The 23,737-nt window shown below is 38.8% G+C and overlaps 1 long non-coding RNA gene across 2 annotated transcripts in view; it reads left to right on the top strand.

Annotated features, from left to right (window-relative positions):
- The window catches only part of NUTM2B-AS1 (NUTM2B antisense RNA 1), a 135,095-nt gene that overhangs the window by 47,297 nt on the left and 64,061 nt on the right, over positions 1–23,737 (top strand). The window contains exon 6 of one of the 2 annotated variants that reach the window (NR_120613.1): positions 12,974–13,027. This is a non-coding gene — a long non-coding RNA (NUTM2B antisense RNA 1). Of the gene's footprint in view, positions 1–12,973; positions 16,727–23,737 lie in introns of those variants that run through there. The other variant, NR_120611.1, reaches the window with a different exon arrangement.

Genomic DNA, 23,737 nt, shown 5'->3' with positions numbered 1-23,737 from the left:
GCTTTAAATGCCTTTAAGACATAATTTAAAATAACTTTAGAAAAATTCCAGTGAGAGACTCATCCCATAATTTAGCCACTCCTTCTGATGCTAGACTGCTGCACTGTTCCTATCTCTGTATAAATAAACCTGTATTGGAAACTCTGGGGGCATAAATCTTTGTACATATTTAAGATTTTAAAAATTAGGATACAGCTCAGAAGTGGAATTATGGAGAAGATGAGTATAAATGTTTTTTAGAACTCTTGATATCTGCCGCCAAGTTGCTTTCCCTTCAAGGTCGTGTCAATTGCCGCTCCCACCAGCAGTGACTGAGATTAAATGGTTTGGGTATTATTGAGTACATGAAATTAGAAGACATATTCAGGGTTGGTTGGGGAATTGCCTCCTGGTTGAGGTGGGGTGGCGGAGAAGTAGGAGAGAAACGGAGGTGGGTGCGTGTGTAAACCAGGAGAGAAATAGACCTTCACGCCTGAGGGTTATCTGCTTCAGGTTTTTGTGCTTCCCCAGTAACTCCTATTTTGCTCCTTACCACTTTCTTTAGGATTGATTTTTATTTTCTTATTTCTTCTTCACCCTCTCTTCTGGCCGTAGTGTAGGAGCAAAGTTAGGCTACCAAAGCAGCAATACTATCCTATGTAATCAACCAAGCAACGTTTTTAAAACACCAATCATATGAAAGGCACTGTGCAAGCCACCCCTGCCCTCGGAATTTACAGTGCAACAGGGAAAGGTGAGGTTAGTGTGACTTCCCTGCCCAACACCACCTTTCTCCCTCCTAAGTTGCTAATGGTAATGATGAAAATAATGTCATCATCAGGTATTATTTAGCTATTGGAAGAAACCACTCGGTGTCGAGTTCATCAAGGAATCTGTCACAGATGTGAAATCAAGCCAGGCCTAGCAAGGATGAGTGCATTTAATTGAATGCATTTCAGGTAGAGAAATGCCATGTGCAGAAGTGATGGCCTTTGGTAAGGAGTATGGGACTGTGACTATTTCCCCTTGATGACCTTGCATGAAAATAAACAAACAGCATTTGAAAAATCTCCTCTCCTGAGGTGACTAGAAGGTGACTCAACAGTCCATTTCCATGCATCAGCTTGCTGGAGGAAATGGAAAGGCCTATTCCCCAAAGCAGTGTTTGTCTCACAGAAATAGAGATATTATGTGTAATAAATTGGGAAAACTTGTGAAATGAAACATCTGTTCTGCATGCTTAAGCACCAAGGCACTTGCAAAATATGAATTTTTACTCCATATTCCAAATGCTGTGATGATGAGCTGAGAATGAGTTTGGAAGGTTCATCTCTTTCCAATAAAAAGGTTCATCATGCCTCTCTGACTTTTATAATTATTTTGGAACATTTTAGATAGGAAATTGAAAGAGGAGGGAAAGAATGATGACAGAACTGAAGAAGAATTGATGAAAGGGTCAAAAAGCTAAAGAACTTTGAGAAATGGATTTTATGTGCAGTCAACAATGCCTTCAGCTAATTTAACCAAATCAACAAAGCCATTAAAATGTATAATGATTTTTATTTTGCTACAAATCTATGTAGAATGAAAGATACCTTGTGAAATGCAAAATCTTCCATATTTGGGATCTAAGCACCTGCATAGATGTTTGAGAAAACGGAAGGTGGCTATTCTTTTATTGAATGTTTTTAGAACATAATGCTACTCCCCCCTGCTCACTCCACCGCAATAAATACTTTATTCACTCTGGATGCCCTCAATTTCCCCTACCAGCTAGGAGCTGTGTATCACTCTCCAATGTACTGTTGATTTTCAATCTAGACCAGTCTCCAAGGTTACTCTTGACTTTAAAATATACAACACCAATTTGCAGGTTCCACCAGATATCCAGGTGTGAATTTTTCTGAGGCCAATTTAAAGAACAGACTGTCTTTTTTTCTTACCATGGTGCTGCATATTATTGGTGCTAATGCTACACCTAAGGGATTTCAAAGCTCATTTCCAAACATCATCTCATTTGAACTTAACCAGAATTGGGAGATGGACTGTGCAATTATTTTTACCCAGCATTCCAAAAGGGGAAAAATAAGCATCTGAAAATGACTTTCCCAAGGTCACACAAAGAACCAAGACAAGACACTACGTTTCCTAACACCTATTACTCTGTTTTGTATTGTATTATATACTTTATGCTTGAACATAACCAGGCAAGTCTTTTTCCTTGAAAACTCTCAGGAGAAATGTTCTCTAGTCCCAATCCCTTGTCTAATTTCTACTTAAACCTATATGCTCCCCCATTTCTCCTTCTCGGTAGGCATGGGGGATCCCACACTGCAGATCCCACATGCCTATCAAGAGAGTAGTGACCTTATAGAGTCCCACATGGCAGTGTAAAGCAGTGAGAGTCACATCTTGGGTCCACGGTGGACTGATCCAACCATGTGGGCAGTGGTCAGAGGGGAGTTTTTAACCAGCAGTGGACCAGAATGGGTCACATCAGCAAGGTTGGTGCTGCAGCAAAGTGGCCATTGGGATGATAAAGGGATAGTGATGCTCACGTCCCAGTGTGGATGGTGGGAGAGCATGCATGTTGCTTTCTGTGATAGTATCCATCATGGTACATGAGGGCACAGTCGTTTCTCCTAACTCTGGAACACCAGGTTTCCTCCTTGACTCTCTCAGGATTCTCAGGTAAGAGAGGAGAGGCATGTGTGAGGGATAGGAGGAAGCCGAAAGGAAAACGAATGGGCAGAGATGACATAAAAGGCATATTTAATGAGGGATTGCCAGGGCAAAAGAAATAGATTCCCCTTTCTTTGACATAATTTTCAAATAATCATTTGTATCAAACAGCATTTCCCCCTTGGGGATTTTGAGGGACAGGTAAGGCCACCACCCCAGTGCCTGAATTTATACTTATAGATACCTGCCTAAGACACTGGATGTGTCTTGGAGGGGGACTGTGGTCCTGCATTAGGTAGGTCGGTGCTAATGAGCTAATGAACTTTGGTTCAAATTGTAGAAGTAAACTGACCACTGTTCCCCAAAGTTGATACGGCCTGGGTGATACTTCTCAGACTTTCGAGTGCCTAAGAATCACCTGAAGATTCCGATTCAGTGGGTTTTAGGGTGGAGCCTAAAATCTTGCATTTCCAACAAGCTCCTGGTGATGCTATGATGCTAGTCCGTAGACCAGCTAAGTAGCAAGGAGCCAGGGACATTCAGATTACACTATGTATGTGGTTTTGCACCCTGATTTTTTTTTTCCTTTTAACCTCTTAAAACTTTTTGCTTAACATTTTACATAAATGTTTTCCCTATGATATTAATTATTCTTTAGACTCATAGTTTTTAATAAATGTGCTATTTAGTTACTTGGATGTGTAGTGATATATTTGATAACTACCTTTTGTTTGAAATCTAAAATGCTTCCTGTTTTTACCTGTCGTAAATCATGATGTCATGAGCATCCCTATTTATAAATCTTTGTTGGCTTCTCTGCACCAAAACTTGCAAGCAGGACAGAGCATTCCATTAGGGAAAAAAAGAAAGAGAGAGAGAGAGAAAGACAGAAAAGTATATAAAAGAAGTTGAAAATACTGTTTTAAAACAAATATTGACTGATCTCTAATGTCCACATCCAAGGCACTTGATGACAGGAATTATAGAATATTCAGAAAAATAGAGTTTTTCTTTCACTTCTGCTATAACGTGTACTTGGAAACTACACCATAAAGTATAAAGCTCGAAAGTGGCTGGAATTTCTGCATACGATGTATTGTAATTACAGATTGCGCTCCAAGATTTGTTATAAACTTTGTGAAGGGAAAAAAACACAAGCTGTGTTTTGTATATTAAACATTAAAATTGTAGGCTATATCGTATGCAATGGAAGGAAAATATGCCACATACATTGAATTTTTTAAAACTACCATACCATAATTTTGCATAAAAACTAATAAACAAATTGTATTAAATGGGAAATAGTTAATAATTTGGCCTCTCTGGTTTGCTGCTGTGTTGCCAGGTCCTGGCTCCCATTAAGGTGACATCTAGCCTATAGGCCATTGAATAGAAAAAAGACATTCCTTCCTCAAGCACTTAACTTCCATTCAGCCAAAGCTTATGTGTATTGATTTTGTTGCAAGACACTGTACTGCCGTCTGCTAGAAAATGGTGTAGCAATAAAATCCAAATGTAAAATTTCTACATTGTGAATAGTACTTCCCAGATGTGGTGCACAGTCTGCACAAGCATAGGCACTGGCCCTACATCTAAATAGATTTTTCTGGAATGAAAGAATGAATGTATTCTATTGATCCTGGTTATGCTTTGAAGCTGTAATCTGTCAGTACCCTCTGTGGTCACTAGATAGGAAGTTGGAGAATATTCAGAGTGATAAAGAGAAGGGTAATGGGAAAGTCTAAATGAGTGCTTCTCAAATTTTAATGGGCGTATGAATCACCCAGGAATCTTGTTAAAATGCAAATTATAATTTGGATGTGGGGCCTGGGATTCTGCATTTCTCACAAGCTCCCAGCTCACTTATCATCTGATAAGAATGCTGTTGGTCCATAGGCCACACTTCGAGTAGAAAGACTCTAAAACAACAGTCAATCTTGGCTTCTTGCTAAGTAAATATTTTTTAGTAAAAATTGTCACTCTTAGTTCATTGAAATTGATTCAGTATTCTGTTAATTTCTGTGTTGAATCTTGGAATGGAAAGAAACTTCCAGGTGATTCTAATGTGCAGCCAAGGTTGAGAACCACTGGTCTAGTGAAAAGTCATGCATCCAAAGCACCTAAATGTAGGGACTACATGTAAAAGGCATTCACAAATGAAAAACATCAAATAATTGTGATTTTAAATTTTAAAAAAAGAATTATTCTTCGTCTGAAGATATTTATCACCACATGAATGATATACATTACTAAGTATTGCAGGCGTGTCCAACCTTTTGGCTGCACTGGGCCACATTGGGAGAAGAATTGTCTTGGGCCACACATAAAATACACTAACACTAACAATAGCTGATGACCTAAAAAAAAAAAAAAAAAAAAAAAAGGTCCATGCATAGTTTTCATGACATCCACCACCACAGATAAGCAAAATAGTCCTTGCATTGAAAAGGTTGGACACAGCTGGAAGGAGTTTAGAGGCCGGAAGAGCTCTATAGGCAGAAATACTTTGGGAATGAAAGTAATGGGAGGACATAGGACAAGACGCTGCCCTCCTGGTATCTCAGGTGTGGCATGAGCATACGTGACAGGGGCAGTGAGCACCTGGGCTAAGGATAGCTATTCTACTCCTCCGGCATTGTTCTTCTTACAGAGTTGAGAGCTCCTCTGCACTTTGTGTATGCCATCGGCCAGCTCATAGTACTTTGCAACTCTGATCAATCAACATGCTTGCAGATTGTTACAATCTTGCCGTTTTCCCATCCACGATAATCGCATGGCTGTATCTTAATGCCAGTTTACTGAGTTGTATTGCTAGGGGCTTTCTAATTCCCATTAAAGATTTTTAAATCCCTCAGCCATTTTCTTACTTAAAACCATTAAAGGTAGCTTTAGGTATGTTGAGGAATGTGTGTGGATGATACAGCATTTCTCTTCTACCTGGAATAGTTGTCTTCCCTATTGCCGCTGCATTCCCTCATCTACTCTCCATCTCATTTTAACAAAGGATTGGTATTTTAGAAAGAACTCAGATTCTCTTTGGAGAAGCGAGCGCCACCACTTGTAAGGTGATTTTTAAAGATAATATTCACAAGTTATTTGATGCTTCTCTCCCAAAGAGATGGAGCTACATTCCCCTTTTCTTAGTGTGGGCTGGACATAAGGACTCAGATAGATCTGGCAGAAAGGATGAAATGTCACTTTTGAGATTAGATTATTGAAAGACTGTGGCTTCTGTCTTGGGAGGTGCGTGCTCACTTTTTCACTCTTAAACTCCTCACTCGGAGAAGCCAGCTGCCATGCTGTGAGGCAGCCTGTGGAGAGGCCCACGTAGTGAGGAACTGAGGACTGCTGGCAGCCGTGGCAGTGAGTGCAGAAGCAAATCCTTCCCCAGTTGAGGCTGCAGATGAATACAGCCCTGGCAAACACCTTGACTGAAGTCTTGTGAGAGATTCTGAGGCAGAACCACCCAGTTAAGAAGCTCCTGGACTCCTGACTCACAGAAACTGTGAGATGACATTTGTTTTTTAAAAAAATTGGTAAGCTTGGCTGGGCGCGGTGGCTCACGCCTGTAATCCCAGCACTTTGGGAGGCCAAGGCGGGTGGATCACGAGGTCAGGAGATCGAGACCATCCTGGATAACATGGTGAAACCCCATCTCTACTAAAAATACAAAAAATTAGCTGGGCGTGGTGGTGGGCACCTGTAGTCCCAGCTACTCGGGAGGCTGAGGCAGGAGAATGGTGTGAACCCGGGAGGCGGAGCTTGCAGTGAGCCGAGATCACACCACTGTGCTCCAGCCTGGGTGACAGAGTGAGACTCCGTCTCAAAAAAAAAAAAAAAATTGGTAAGCTTGGGGGTAATTTGTAATATAGCAATCATCAACTGACAGAACTTGCCTGAAACAAAATATTTTTTTCAGCAAAGAACCTGCTATTCTAAGCTTGCTGAAACTGGCTCTGTATTGAAAACTAGAATGGAAAGGAATGTTTAGTGTCAGGGTAAATTCATGAATCAGTGGACCCAACAGAAATGCAGTGTGTGTGTGCGTGTGTGCGTGTGTGTGTGTGTGTGTAAAATCTCACTTCTTTGGAAGTGAAAGATGAATTTTTGGAAGAACAAAACCACAATCAGTTCTTTGTTGTCATTGAAATCATTTGATAATCCTAAGCATGCACGCACACTCCCAAAAGAGTAGAAGATGGTAGCTCACAAGACAAGGAAGACTGGTAAAGCTACTGAGGTCTGTGGGAGCTGCCCTGTAAGTCAGAAGTGCCCACAAGTTGGAGCCATTAGGTTTTAAATGACAGAAACCCAATTCAAGCTAGTAAGCAAAAAGAGAATTTATTGTCTTACACATCTGGGAAGTCCGGGGCTACAACAAACTTCGGTACTCCTGTTTACGGAGTTCTCTGTCTCCCTCATCATCTCTGGCCCTGCCTCCCTGTTTCTTTCCTCAACTTCTCCTGTGAGAAATCACTTTCTTTGGCCACCAGTAGCCCAGCTTCTCATCCTGAGTTTGCCTGCTCCATGGCAAAAAGTGCATTTCTCCTAACAACAATTAATCCAACCCTAGGAACATTCTGATTGACTGGCTTGGGTTGTAAGCCTTTGGCAAGGGGAAGGTGGTGAAGATGTTGTGATTGACAGGTTTGCCTGGACCACATGGAAAGAGAGGGAGTGATTACCCAAGGAACCCAAGAGGAGGGTGGGTGAGAGGGCTGTTAAACAAAAATATAATCACCGAAGCTCCCTACAACCTGGAGGCTTGATGAGAATAAGCCATGACACATGGTTGCTGTCGTATGGTTGCTGTTCTAAACACATGGTTGCTATTCTTATGGTGCTTCAGTGAGATGCAACTAGAGGCTCAGGTTATAGGCTGAGTTAAGCCAGGAATGGGGTTTTCTTCTAGAAACTTCTGGAACTGAAAAGTTAAATTACTAGGAAGTCGCTGGAGAGGTTAGCTGGCCCTCCATGTCTATTCTACTTAAAGCTGTTCGACTTATAAGTATGAGAATTTAATTCTTCTCCACTCAGCAAGAGAGAAGAATGAGGTGTCTTTGCCTTTATATTTCTAAGAGAACTCATTTAGAGTTTTAAAACACAGGGAGATTAAGGATGTAGGAATGTGTGGAGGTGGTAGACATCTGCTGAATTTTTTTCATAAGAGAGTTTGAGTTGAGATTCTGACATATGCAGCCAAGAGATCCTAATAAAGCTGGTTCTAAAGAGATCCAGATTTTCATATTAGAACTATAATAAATGAGATTTATGTGCTTTTATGAAACTTTATGTTAGCAATTAAAGTATTTTGCACTGGAGGTTCAGTTCAAGGGCAAATCTATGCAAAAATGTTCCAACTGAAACCTTTGTATTCAGAATCACAGTGTGTTAGAACTGAAAGAGGCCTGAAAGATCCTATTTGTTTTTTAAGTAAAAAGAAACATCTTTTCATATGTTTAATGGTTATTTGTATTTCTTCTTTTGTGAATTGCCTTTTAAAATTATTTCTCATTTTTCTATTGGAACATTAATTTGCAAATTATTTGTAAGTGTTTTTATATGCATAATATAAACATATTATTTGTCATATACTGTATGCATCTTTCCTTTTTCCATGTTATAGTGCTGCTTTCTATATATACATGAAGTTTTAAGTTTTTTGTAAGTTGATTTATCTCTTTGTAAATTATATCTTAGTGTTTATAACTAGTCAAAAGACTTCCCAATACCCAAATACACTAAATAGCCACATATTTTATTTTGCAATTTTTTAAATTTTATTGAATTTTAAGGATCTGTCTTTAATTTAATTATATATAAATCTTTAACAAATCTGAAATTTAATTTGTGAAGTAGGCATCTAATTTTATTTTTTCCCAAATGGTTAGCCAAATATTGCTGTACCATTTATTAAGTAATCTAGTTTTTCCCTATTCAACTGAAATGCCACACTGACTTAATGTTTTATTTGTTTATTTGAGGCGGCAGAACTTCTCAAAACATTTATTAACAGAGAACAATGTTTCATGTAATTAGCATTTGACTTAATAGCTCAATTTGAAGAATGGAAAAAATAAAGGGAAATGATAGATTTCAGTACTACGAACAACATTTGTTGGGACTTTTGAAGGTAGATAAATTGGAAGAAAAAGTATTATGTTGCTTTATTTTAAAAATAGAAGCTAGCAATTTTTAGCTGCATTTGAGGACTTTATTTTCTTTTTGCATTTTCTTCCCTGTGGTCTACAGATTTCCTAGCAGACTTAACATCTGGCATTGGGGAATCCTTAAACCCAAGGAAGGAACTGCTGGCAGGAAATTTTCTGTGGATGTTAGGATTGGGAAAAGGGGAGATGAAATAAGGGATGTGCTTCCTTAAGATTATAAACTCTATCCACAAAGCCCCTGTCTGGAATTCTGGGTTGAATTGTATCCTCCCCAACCCCCACCAAAAAAAAAGACATGCTCTTCAACATATCTTCCTAACCCCCAGTATCTCAGAATGTGACCTTATTTGGAAATAGGATCATTGCAGATATAATTAGTTAAATAAAAATGAGGTCATACTGGAGTAGGGTAGGCCTCTGATCCAATATGACTGGTGGCCTTATTAGAAGATGGCCATGTGAAGACAGAAACACACAAGGAGAAGACCATGCAATGATGAAGACAGAGACTGGAGTTATGCAGCTGAAAACCAAGGAACAGCTTCTTATGTACTTAATTTGTGTCAGATTTCACTACGTGTCAAAGCTTGCTATAAAACCACCAGAAGCTAAGAAGAGAGGAAGGATTCCCCTACAGGTTTCAGAGGAAACACGGCTCTGCTTACACCTTGATTTCAGATGTACAGCTTTCTAGTTTGTGCTACTTTATTATGGCAGCCCTAGGAAACTAAAGCAGCCCTCATGAGTTTTAATGGCCTCATGGCTTCTGACACCAAAATGCCCCCAAAACACCTTTGATCTGAATTTTATCAAATTTTGAACACTTATAGGAGATGATATAACTAGAATATGATGAGATACTTATTAAATAAAGCCCAATGACTCCATGAATTCCAAGTAAAAGTTAAGTAAATCCCTTAAAATCAGAGCTAGAATAATTGTTCTGCCACTCATTAGCTCTGTGATCTTAAGCAAGTTATTTAACTTCTTGGGGCCTCTGTTTCCTCATCTGTAAAACAAAATATCTACCTCAAAGGGTTATCATAAAAACTGGACGAAGTAGTGATGCATGCAAAAGTACTTAGAACAGTGCTTGATACAGAGTGAGTACATAATCGATGATCATCTTCTTCTTCTTTTTCATCTCCTACCCCTCCTCCTCCACAAGTGCAGCTGAACAAATTCAAAATGATAGTTCATCAAATAATTGCAACAATGTGCTAGACACTCATATAAAGATCCATTGTAATGTAGTCATTTTGCAATGGAAGTTTGGCCGTGTGACAAGAATGTGCCCCTGATATGTCTCCTTGCAGGTTACTGTGAACTGAATTGTGTCCTCCCCTGACAAACTCATACGTTGAAGCCCTAATCCTCAGTGTGATTGTATCTGAAGATAGGGTCCTTGGCAGATAACTAAGGCTACAGGAGTCATAAGGGTGGCACCCTAATTCTATAGGACTGTAGCCTCATAAAAAGACGGAGAGAGAGAGAGAGCTCTCTCTATGGCAAGCACCGAGGAAAGGCCACATGAGCGTGCAGTGAGAAGGCAGCTATCTGCAAGGCACAGAGTGCACTCACTAGAAGCCAACCACGCTGGCACCCTGATCTTCCTCTTCCCTCTTCAGAGCTGTGAAAAAATTAATATCTATTGTTTAAGCCACCCAGTCTATGGTGTTTTGTTATGGCAGCCAAACTGACTAATTCACAGATTCAACACTCAAAGGGTTAAATATATATACCTCTTGGAACAGACAATGTGGATCTCCCTGCTTGGCTGATCCTCCTTCCCTACTAGTCTTCCAAATTTGTAGTGCTATAGGGCCCTCTTCTTTACCCTTGGTCTTCTATCTCAATCCAGCCCAAGGCTTTAAATACCATGTGAAATGGTTTGAATGTATATGTCCCCTTCAAAATTCATATTGAGACTCAATCCCCAGTGCAGCATTGTCAAGAGGCAAGGCCTTTAGGAGGTGATTAGGTCGTGAGGGATCTGCCTGTATAAATGAATTAGAACCTTATAAAAGGGATGGAGGGAACTAGCTAAGCTCTTTTTGTTCTTCTCCTTTCTCCCATGTAAGGATGCTACAGTGAGAAGATGCCAGGTCCTCATCAGACACCAAACTTGCTGGTGCCTTGATCTTGGACTTCCCAGCCCTTAGAACTGAGAGAAATAAATATCTATAATTTATAAATTACCCAGTCTGTAATATTGTGCAGCACAAAGTGACTAAGACATCGTATGTATACTGATGACATACAGATTTAGTCCTCATCTCTTCCTTCAACTGCAGGCCTCTGTGTCCAACTTCCTTCTTGACTCCTCCACTTGGATGAATAATAAATAGCCGCCTCAAATATTTTAAAGTCCAAAACAAACCCTTCATTGAACTGTTTGTTCCCTCTTTTCAACCATGCCTTGTCCATGTGGACACCCCCACCCCAAAAGTCATCCTTGATTTCTTTTTCTTTACCCCCTCTGCCCACATCCAACCCATCAGTAAGTCTTGTCAGTTCTACTTCCAAATTATGTTTTTAATGTTATTCCCATTTCTCAGTTCCACTATCACCACCACGACTATTTCTTGCCATAGTCTCATTTCTTGCCATAGTCTCATTTCTTGCCATAGTCTCCTAAATGGTCTCCCAGTCTCTAGTCTTGCTGTCTTATAAATTCCTCTCCAGTCAGTAGCCAGAGTTATCTTTCATAAAATATAATTTTAATTTTACAAAAAAAAATACATGTGCAGAGTTTAAGCAGGCAGAGTTCAACAAATGATACCACCAAAAGGAAACAAACAAACAAGACATACCAATAGCTTCCAGATAAATAATTTTTAATGGCTTCAGCTCAGAGTTATCTTTTCATTTGTTTGTTTTTGGTTAGGTTTTTTGAGGTACAATTTGCATAGAGTAAAATGCAGCAATTCACATATTTAGGTATACATTCCAGTGAGTTTTGACAAATATATTCAGTCATGTAACCACTATGATAAAAATATAGAATATTTCCTTTACCCATAAGATATAGATGGATATAGATATAGATATAAAAGATACAAGGTCTCCTTCTGTTGCCCTTGAACTCCTGGGATCAAACCTCCTGCCTCAACCTCCCAACTAGCAGGGATTACAGGTTTGAGCCACTGTACCCATCACCATAAGTTATATTTTAATACATTAACTGAATCATGTCAACTCTTTAGGCAAAAAGCCTTCAGTGACTTTCTTCTAACTTAGAATAAAATTCAAACTCTTTGTCAGGGTCCTTGAAGCCCTACAAAACTCACTTCCATTTACTTCTCTGAACTCCCCTAATAACAAGTCCCCTCACTCAGCAGGGCCCTGCTAAGGAGTTTCAATCTGCTTCATGGACGTTCAACCTGCCTCTCCCCTTGTCTGGAATGATCTTCCTCTGATGTTCCATCCACCTTACTTTTTCTGATCTCTTTATTCAGTGTAGCTTTCAATTCACCTCAAGTAAGTTATTAATTATTTTATCCTGTTTATTTCTTATCACAATTTGGGATAATTTTGTTAATGTATCTTTTTGCTTGTTTATGTCTTAGACCACCAGAATGTAGCAAGATAAAGGCAGGACCTTGGTCCATTTATGCAAGACTATATTCCCAGCTCCCATGATATTATCTATTCTACCACACAGAGGGTTCTTCATATTAGGTTGAACTATTTGGAATTACCCACATATGACCATTTTTGACCTACAAGAATGGCGATTTCATATGGTTCATTTGGTTTATAAATATTTGCTGAATAAATGAATGAACTGAAATTTTGAGTTGATGCCACCAGGAAGAGAATAGACAGTTATATTTGTGCGCAGTTAGAAAGAGTTCGCTGTCCTGAGTTCACTTGATCACTTTTTATCCTAAATTGCCACCCGCTACCGTCGTAGTTTTCCACATAATAATTTTCTATTAGGAAAATTATTCATTAAAACAGATAACATGGGTCACTTAAGTGTAAAACTTAAAGGTAACACTTTTTTAAGGAAATCTACCAGAAGAAAATCTTTTTCTAATTTTTAAAGTTTAATGAAACATAATTTACATACAATGTAAATGGCTAATAATTTACGTACGATAGCTAATTTTTAACTCTTCATGTTTTTTTGTTGGCAGGCAACGTGTTGGACCTTCCGGAGCTTCTCAGAAGACAGAGGGTTTTCTTTTGAGGTAAATTTGATAGTACATTTTGATAGTACGGGAGGCGATACGGCATGGTGACAGAAAAGCGCCGGCTTGGTTAGCAGGACCACCTGGCAGGGCTGCAGGCTGTGCCACTTACCAGGCAGGGGACCTTGGGCCAGCTGCTTGGCCTCACTCACCCTGTTTCTCAGCTGCAATTGGGATGAACAGACTGCCTGCTTCGGGGTTGCCTAAAACTCACATTGGTTAATGATGTGAAATGCTTAGCGCAGTGCCTGGCATAGAGAGAATTCTCATTAGATGATACCTCAGCTGGGCTTTAGGAGCTACAGAAGAAGCTGCATCTCCATGAGCTCAGCGTGTTTCTAGCTTTCCTTTTTGTTTTCTATTCAACCTTTCACCCAACTCAGCTTCTCAATCCCTAAATGACAAAGGTTTGGGAAGGAAGACTTGGACCGAGGCTTGCATTTGTTTCTGAGAATTAAACGTTATGTTTTCTTCAATCTAAATAGGTTTGCTTGTACAGCCTTGTTGAATGGTTTTTTTTTTTTTTCTCCATGATAAATGACTCTCAACTTCTTTTCCCTCATCTAATTGCTTATCTACATACAATGCCTGGAAGGAAATAAATGTAATGGCCCGTAGCAACTGGCCTTCAGGTATCAAGTTTAAGTCCCTTTAAGCAGAACAGCAAATTGAGCACAGAATGAACTGGTTTCATGGTAGCGTACTGCAATTAGATGCAAGAATAGGGAAAGCAGGGTGCTTCAAGTGGTGACACAATTAGTATAGCACTGAGGGACTTCTCTTTCCACTTCTTCAACTCCGCCTGCATTCCGCTGGCTGAAGAGTTGATGACATCCCTGAAAAATCTTCCCTCTCTTGTTTCTCTGATGCCACCTCTGTGTTCTCCGCCTCACTGGCCACACTTCCTTTACCTCCCAAACTTTTAACTCTGAGTGTCCCAAACTTGTCTCATCACCTACCCCTGCTGCCCAGCTCCCCAGCCTGTTCCCCTTCTGACACGGGCACTCTCCTTCTGCTCTCTTGGGAGAGAAACAATGAAGGCCTATTTGGCACTTTTATTTCTATTCAAGGAACCAGACTGTGAACAAGTTTACCATTTAGTCCTTTGGACTGTGTCTTGAATTCATCCCTCTTCTCCATTCTCACCAGCACCATCATCATGATGGCTAATATTTCCTGAGCACCTTTCATTCAGGCATGATGCCAGGTGCACCAACTTACTTAATCCTCATAGCCACCACCTGAGCAAGCTCCTGTTTTATAAATGGACCAGTTCTTGTTGCTGTTGTACAAGTTATTTTCTTTCTATAACGTCCTCCTTGTCCTCCTTCCACATTCTTAAAGAAACTTTCCCTTCCTTTAAAGTACTCAGGGAGCCCTGCATTGCTTCTTGAAGCCTTCTCCAGCTTCATCATCTCACAGTGGTCTCTCTTTTCACTAAATGTCCAATATGCTGCACATAAGTACCCCAAAGTTAGCACAGAATTGTTCCATGGCTGTCATATATGTTAAAAATCATTAAAAGTTCATTTTTTCTCCCATTATGGGAAGGATACATGCTCCTACTAGTAAATTTAGTTGGTAGAAAAAAATTATCACTATCTAGACTGCTTTCCCTTTAGTCTTTATGCATAGCTTTCTGTCTGCCTATTTTTACTTTGTGTTTGTAACTTACTATTATAAAATATGCATCTCTATGTTCATTGTCAACATTATTTACAATAACATGGAGTGGATTTACATGTATTCTCTATATTTGGATTAAAGGAGATAGAGTATGTGAAATTAAATGGGAGAAGTATCTGATACATAACAGGCAATACAAATATTATCACATAGCGTCAATTTATTTGTGAATATTGAAAGCTCCAAAAAAGAAAAAAAGTTTTTTTTTAATTCCCGTAATTACTTATTGCAGTATTGTGTTCATACAAACTGCTCAGTCATTTTGGAGAAATAACAATTTTTTTCCTCATCATGAAGTAAGGTATGCTCACTGCAAAAAAAATCTAGAAAATAAAGAGGAACATGCTAAAGAAAAGAATACTCCCATATAATCTCTGTCTTCATAAATAATCTTTTGTAACGCTTATACACTGCTGGTGGGAATGTAAATTAGTTCAGCCATTGTGAAAAGTAGCGTAGCAATTCCTTGAAAAACTTAAAATAGAATTACCGTTCAACCCAGCAATCCCATTATTGGGCATATACCCAGTGGAATGTAAATCATCCTGCCATAAAAACACATGCACATGTATGTTCATTGCAGCACTATTCACAATAGCAAAGACATGGAATCAACCTATATGCCCATCAATAGTAGACTGAATAAAGAAAATATGGTACATATTCACCACAGAATACTAAGCAGCCATAAAAAAGAAAAAGATCATGTCCTTTGCAGCAATATGGATGGAGCTAGAGGCCATTATCCTAAGCAAACTAATGCAGAAACAGAAAACCAGATACTGCATGCTCTCACTTATAAGTGGGAGATACACCATGAGAACACATGAACACAAAAAGCGGAAAAAGAGACACCATGGCCTACTTGAGGGTGGAGGCTGGGAGGAGGGAGAGAATCAAAAAACTTCCTATGGAGTACTATGCTTATTACCTGCGTGATGAAATAATCACTTTGAACATTGTCAGTACATTATCTTCTAATCTAGACTCTTTTCTATGTTCTATATGCACACAGAAATACACATGCAAAGCTGAACACATATGTGAAACAAAATTCAGACACTCAAATTTTCCGCCAATACATGATAAAATCTTGCACAATAGCTTCCTCCACAGAGGAAAATGTCTTTACTACATCTTAAAAATGGGGTAAATGAATAGTTAGGCTCTTCAGTGTAATAATCATGGTAAATATTCTCAATGTGCGAAAATACAAACAAAAGACTTTCTCTCCCAGCAAATTTAGACCCACATGAAAATTTAAGCACAATCATTTTAAACGAATTTACCCTGGAGCTTAGTGGTTCGAGCTCAAGGTTGAGGAGCAGTCTGGGGACATCAGCTCTTAATATTTTTCAAGTTTTGGAGCAAGTGGTTTCTAGGTTCTGAGTGAAGTGAAACAGAATCTCTAGGGGCATGTGGTAAAGATAATCCCATACTATGTACTGCGTAGAGTTAAAGAGAAGAGGCGAGAGCATGAAGATAAACCAGTACAATCAGTCGTTCACATACCACTAACTACAATGATACTCCCGTTTGCTTCCTGTGAAGTAGTTACTAATAATCACTGATGTCGCTTTTTAATTTCATACATCCTTTAACTATCTTCATATAGGTATTGAAAGAGTCAACATAAAAGCCACATCCATTTTCTAATTTTGAACAATAGTTAGAGAAACCTAATATCTTCTCATATTTTTGTCTTGCTTCTGTCTCATGAGTTCCCAAAATAGATATATTATCTGAATGAAGAGTTCATGGGCAAATGTCACACTTTTCTTGGTTTGGCTAATTATATTTCTGCTTTTGCTTAGAATAAGATTAATTTTCCTATTCTGCTAATAAACCACGTGATGGCAAAATGCCTTATTCTGAGAAAAGAAGCCTTTGGTATTTTAAAGAATTGGGAAGCTATTTCAGATAAGCTATCATATGCATGAAGATTAATTTATTCATATGAAATGTTCAATAACCAGAAAAGACTGTTTTAAATAAAACCATTTCACAATTAAGTTTTTTTTTGGTTATGGACAGTGATTTCTTCTAAGAAACAAAGCGTCTGTCTATATGAAGAATAACTAAAATAATGGTTAGCAAATATTGATTGGATCCAGCCAAGTGAGCAGCATTTTTGAGTTTACAGATGTGGTAACTTTGAACTATATTTACGTGCTTATAATGAAACCTTACAGTTGGAGTAATAGCTTTGTTCCTGAGTCTCATGAATATTTTCCAGCTCCTTTGTCCTAAATTTCTACCTGACAATCATCCATTTCAAGGAATAAAAGGATATAATAAGTGATAAATCTGTGCTGGAAATTTTTAATCTAAAAAGTTCACATACTATTTCTAATAAACTGAAAACTATTAGAGAAAGATGGAGGTATTAAAACCTATTAATAAGGAAATCAATGGCGACATATTTTAAATGGTTTTGAATTTTATAAAGATTTTCTTTTATAGCACTATGTCCTTTTTCTTTTCTTCTCCTTGTTTGATTTCCAACAGCTGAGCTATTTACTTGTTGAGTTATTTCATATCTATTATTCCATTTAGACCTTGAACCCTGTGAGGGCAGGGACTAACTTTATTCCTAGTGCCTGTCACATGATTTGAACTAAATAAGTATATTTTTCCAGCCTGCACTACTACTTACAATAAGGAGTTTCTTATATTTACTTGAAAATGTTTTCAACCTTCTAGGGATGACCTCTACTATTATTATTCCATTATTGACCTTTCTATGCTTATTATTGACCTTTCATCTTATTATTCTGATTTAGTAAGCAGATTTTATGTCTCCTTGTCCATACCATTCAAGGCTATCTAGATTTCAATTGTATCTTCAGATTTTTACCTTCCACCTTGATGAGTCCCAATGTGAACCCTCCAAAGCAGGTTCCTACTGCACTCATCAGTTTCTTTGGTTGAGGGATAGTGGCCACTATGTCCTTCTCAGGATGTTGGAGACATGATGAAATAAAGACGGTGATATTAGCCCCCTAACGGTAATCACTCATGCTGCTCCCACCCATGTCTACCCACTGGAACAGGGAGTGGTGGCATTGGGGTGGTACAGGGCTTGCCGAGGATGTTGGCTTATAGCTGTATCTCCAAACATCCAGAGCATGTCTTCTTTTTCACCTCTCCTTTAGAATCTGCTTCCTCGAACCATCCCTTTAAGTGCAGGAAGAAAGCTATTTTTAATATGAAAATTACTGTTCCAGTTATCTCATGGTGGAAATTCTTAATGGGCTCTTACTTTGGGCATCTGTCTGGCTCTCAGTGCCAGTAACTTTCTTTTCTTCTTATCTTTGTTTTGTTTTGTTTTAAAGATGGGGTCTCCGTCACCCAGGCTGGAGTGCAGTGATATGATCATAGCTCACTGCAGCCTTGAACTCCTGGGCTCCAGCAATCCTCCCACCCCAGCCTCCCAAGTAACTGAGACTACAGGCACCCACCACCGTGGTTGGCTATCAGTGCTAATAACTTTCTGAAGCTCCATGCCTTTAACTCCAGTGTTCTTTACTTAATGTTTTGAAATATCTGCTGCCCACAAATCCTAGCACATTTCTGAAGTTACCAAGACTTTAAGACCTCCCATACTGCTTTTTCTCCCATCTTCCCTTCTCAGTGTTATTAGCCTCATAGTTTCAAGGGCCCAGCCCAGTATCCACCACACACCATATCCCATACGTACAAATACAGCATAGATAGTATTGAACATTTCATTTTTCACTTTAGCTTGGTGAAAATTAATATGTATTTAGGTATTTTATAGTTATGACTCTTAGTTTTGGGTTGTCTATCTGCTCCATCCTTATTTCTACCTTTAAATGCAGAGCTATTTCCACCAGCTTGAGATAAAAGAAGACAATAGATCCTAAGTCTTCCACTTGGTTCCCTATGGGTTTTGTTTGTTTGTTTGTTTTTTTTTGGTAGAGATGAGGTCTTACTCTGTTGCCCAGGCTGGAGTGCAGTGGTGCAATCATAGCTCACTGCAGCCTCAAACTCCTGGGTTCAAGCAATCCTCCTGCCTCAGGCTCTGGAGTCACTGGGATTACAGGCGTGAGTGACTGTACCTGGCTTCGATTTCCTGATTAAATTATTCTCTCTGCAGCTAGTTTCTTTATTCCAGCCTGAGTCATTTTCTTGCCCTGGGTGACATTTTTCCGTCTTGGACATCTGTCGTATTGAAAGCCAGTCACTTCATTTATGTCTGTCCTCGACTTCTGTTTGATACACTTCCCATGTCTCCAAGTCACGGTATTTCTGAAACAATTCATATTGCTTTTCATTACTAAACTTTTTTTCCAAAGTACTCCTCTGCAGCCTTCATTCCTGATGTCTTTAAATTTCTCTAGAAGGTCTTATATGCTAGATCTACATCTCCTTTAGACACTTATCATTAACCCAATTTAGGGTAACAGAAATTTTTTTTTACATTGAGCACTCTCACAGGTACCTACAACTGCTCACAGTGGTCCTAGAAAGGACATACAGTAAATTGAAATGGACATTGTTTGGCAGGTGATTTTTATATCCTTCCTGACGATGCTGGTTCAACTTTAACATACAGGCCTAATTTTTTTTTAATCCCTAACCCAATTAATAATACGAAAGTAATACATATTCATTCTAGAGTATTTGGAAAATATAGCTAATCCCAACAACCAATCAGAGATAACTACTTATCTTTTTCCTTTCAGTCTCTTTTTATATACACATACACTTAAACCTATCTCCTTATCAAATTGTGATGAGTTATACACATAGGGAATTGAAATAACCAAATATTTCTATAATTCTTATAAGTAAAAATAGTAATAAAAATGACATTCAATTTTTACTTGTTGATTCCGGTGTGCGTTTTCCTCTTTTAAAATAGTTGTTTAGTTTTCCAAAATGGCCAGCAAAAACTTACTTAATTTATAAAGTTACTGAAATACTCTCTCTTTAAAAATGAAAAAATATGATATAATAATTTTAATGATAAAATGAAAAAGGTAATAAAATAGAAAAAATATTTATCTTGAATGTTGGAAATTGAGACAAAGCATATTCAATGTTCAATTGAATGACTATCAAGTGGTATCTGGAAAATTTTATAGAAACCTAGTATTTTTATAGATGTTTTTGAAAAGAAATACTGGTTATTGGGTTTACTTCACTCAAGAAATCCTTTTGCTTAATAGGGGTATATAATTAATACTAGTTAAGTGTTGGTTATTGTATTGTATAAGTGTTGGTTATTGTATTTTCACAGTGCTATAAAGAACTACTTGAGAATGGGTAATTTATAAAGAAAAAGAGGTTTAATTGACTCACAGTTCTGCAGGGCTGGGGAAACTTACAATCATGGCAGAAGGTGAAGGAGAAGCAAGACACATCTTACATGGTGGCAAGAGAGAGTAAAAGAGCAAGGGGGGAATTGCCACACCTTAAAAATATCAGATCTTTTGAGAACTTACTCACTATCATGAGAACAGCAAGAGAGAAATCCACCGCCATGATCCAATCACCTCCCCCCATGCCTTTCCTCTAACATGTGGGGATTACAATTTGAAATGAGATTTGGGTGGGGACACAGAGCCAAACGATATCAGTTGTGTAGATTGAATATTGAAATATTGAAATCTTGAGTCATATAATGAATACTGAAATATATGTAATTCTCAAATTATCAACACTTAGCTGGCAAAGGTTCTTATATGTGAATGGCTCATTAAGCTTTGGATTTCCTTTCCACTGTGTTGCTGCTCTGGATGACAACATTGCTGTCCATACAGACAGCACCACCTATTGGCCAGCACCCAGGGCCCGCTCTGAGTGATTTCCTTACCACCTTTCCTTTTTCTCAAGGTCCTCATGGCCCTGCAGTGCTTGAGTACTTGTCTTTGACTGCTGGGAATCAGTTTGTTTGGCTGAAGACTGTCACACTTATCCACACATTCTTTAAAATCCCTTTCTTCTTCTTACACTTCTCTTCCAAAGCTTGCCTGGTTACCTTAGTTGAATCTCACTCTCTCTCTCTTTCTCTCTTCTGTCCTTCCGTCCCTCTTCCCTTCCTTTTTCTTCCTTCCTTCCTCCCTCCCTTCCTCCCTCCCTTCCTTCCTTCCTTCCTTCCTTCCTTCCTTCCTTCCTTCCTTCCTTCCATCCTTCCTTTCTTTGAGACAGGGTCTTGCTCTGTTGCCCAGGCTGAAGTGCAGTGGCACAATCTCAGCTCACTGCTCACTGCAGCCTTTACTTCCTAGGCTCAAGCAATCCTCCCACCCCAGCCTCCCAAGTAGCTGGGACTACAGACGCGAGCTGCCACACCTGGCTAATTTTTGTATTTGTTGTAGAGACGGGGTTTCACCATCTTGTCCAGGCTGGTCTTGAACTCCTAGGCTCAAGTGATCTGCCCACCTCAGCCTCCCAAAGTGTTGGATTACAGGCATGAGCCACTGTGCTCAGCCTCTTTTACTTTTTTTTTCTTTTCTTTATTACCAAGCTTCTGCTTTGCTTCTTCCATTCTTCTTTCCTGTTTTCTAAGGGATTACTGAAGTGTTTTATTTTTTTCTCTTTTTCTTTTTTCTCCTCATACTGGTTTGGAAATTATATATTTTCTTTGCATTCTTTCAGTAGTTGCCATTAAAATATTTTTAGTTGAATATTTCATTATATTCCCATTCCATCTTTGTTTTTATATTTAGATTTTATTTCACCAAAAATTTTAAAAACTCATAGTTGAAAATATCAAATACTTCCTCATGAGCCTTATATCCCTCCCTCCTTCCCCTGAAACAATCATTTACATTTCTTTTACTGGTCATGTTGGTATCTACTTCCATGTCTCTAAAAAACATTCATTTCTCAATTTCTTATATTTCTCAATTTTCCAGTTTTTGGTATTATCTATTGACTTCCCACTCTAGAAAATGACTGCTCCCACCATATATGTGCCTTCTTTCCTCTTCACGCCCTCACAATACAGTCATTTTATGTTTGCGTTTGATATCAAGCAATATATTTACATTAATGTAACTATGCACAAACTGTTCACAGCTGAGCCATGTAGGAAACTATGATAAATTTTTCTTTCCTGAGCAGCTTTTTGCTTGCCCTGGAGCTAATTATCTTGTTTTACCATTTGCTTAGTTTTCTATGTACTTATCACTAATTTAATCCCAAATTATTTACCAGTTCTCTAAATCTTCTCTTAATCTACTAAGATGCATTGCTTTCATCTTCCTGACAAAATATGCTTCATTCTTCTGATGGCCTATTGGTCTTTATACCTGATGCATAAGACATAAAGCTGTCATCTTGGGACTTTCCCTCACCATCATTCTGGCCTCACTGTCTTACTCTCCTACATGTGTCTCCCAACCTGGGTGTATGTCCTGGGTGTGTTGCCCTGATCTTCCACTTTATTGGTTTAATTTCTTGTTTTGGTGAAGATGGTAAGTTCTGGACAGCTTAGTTAGGGAACCCTGATGTTACTGCATTTAGGTTTTCCTCCTGGACTGATCAGGTAAGATTCTTCCAATCTCCTGTCAGAAGAGTCAAAGTCTGCTATTACTATTTTGGATCTGGGTCAAGTGAGATAGTGGGGTAGAGAGAGGTGGGCATTCAATATGCATGCATTTTCTTAAGCTGGCTTTGTTCAGTACAGTGCTCCCAACTTCAACTCTGCTTGGGATCCCCAAGCAGGAAACCTGTTCTCTCTCTCCTGTGAATATGCTTCCTGGGAAAGAGAAGGGAAATAGAAGCGGTAGTGTACCTTTTCATGATTGGAAAGGATCTAGTGATCTGACTGCTTCTTAAATAAACTTTCAATGCATCATTCTCATTTTAGTCTCTCCTCTTCACCACACTTCCAGAAGAATCTGATGCTGCCAATTCCTGACACTTGAAGGCTCTTGAGTGTCAAACAAGTTGCTTCTTGGCTTTCCTGCTGCTGGTTTAGTACTTTAATTTGGGAGTTCTGCTAAGTCTTTTCTCACTCATCCAATTTTCCAAAATTGTGTTATTATTGTTTATTTTCCCATGGCCCAGGACTTAAAAAAATTCACTGACAAATTAACTGGATTTGGGGAGGACCAAATTTGATGCATGTGTTTAATTTACTCCCTACATCTGGGAGCTCCATTAAATTTTTACAAGTATAACTTGACATAATAAAATCTAAATTTAATTAATATATTTACCCTTCACCTCAAAAATACAAGGGCTTTAGAAACTTTCAATACTAATTACCCCATATTCCTTATTAATGTTTATTGTTTAAATTCTGCCTTTTAAATACCCTCCATCTCCAAATTAGCCATTGTTCCCCATTATTGTAGTGTATAAGAGTGCTTATTCAGATACAGCCAGATGTTTATACATTTCTTGGTCCACCATTTCTTCTTGCATGTGACTCCTTCTTTCTGGGTTCAGTGTCCTTACCATTGAAGTACATCTTTACTGAAGATGCTGTTGGTGTCCTGTCCAGAATCTCTTCAATGAGCTGGCGTACTCATCCCTTAGCTGCTGAGAGTGTTGGCTGCTAATAGTTCACACTCTTTCCCTGAGGATTCCATTCAAGCCAACAATTTCAGAAAATGCCTGGAAGGTAACAGCCTTCCCCCGTGGGTAGCTCATAGCCAATGACTGATTGATATGGGTGTACAGAACTGAGGCTCCAGAACTCCCTGTGGGATCAGACTGAGGCTAGACTTCAGCTAAACCCATATCTTTCCCAGCTTCTTTTCCTGTCCTATTCTGCTTCCTTCCTCGCTGTTCAGATTTCTTCTGAGAGCACTCCCTCAGGCAATCACTTGGACAGGAATCTAATTCTCAGGGTCAGCTGCAAGAGCCCAATCTAAGACAGTTGATAGCAGTAGTAATTATATACACCTGAGTCTGAGGATGGGATTCTGGAGTTTGCTCACTCACCAGTGGTTCCATCAGAATCTCTTCCCTGAAGATAGTCTCAGATGTGCTCCTGCAGTGAAATTGCTAACACTTTTACTTGTAGTGAACCAGGACAGCATATAA

This window comes from Homo sapiens, chromosome 10, assembly GCF_000001405.40.
Source record: "Homo sapiens chromosome 10, GRCh38.p14 Primary Assembly".
In the NCBI taxonomy this organism is placed as follows: domain Eukaryota; kingdom Metazoa; phylum Chordata; class Mammalia; order Primates; family Hominidae; genus Homo; species Homo sapiens.
This window is presented reverse-complemented; position numbering and strand designations above follow the sequence as displayed.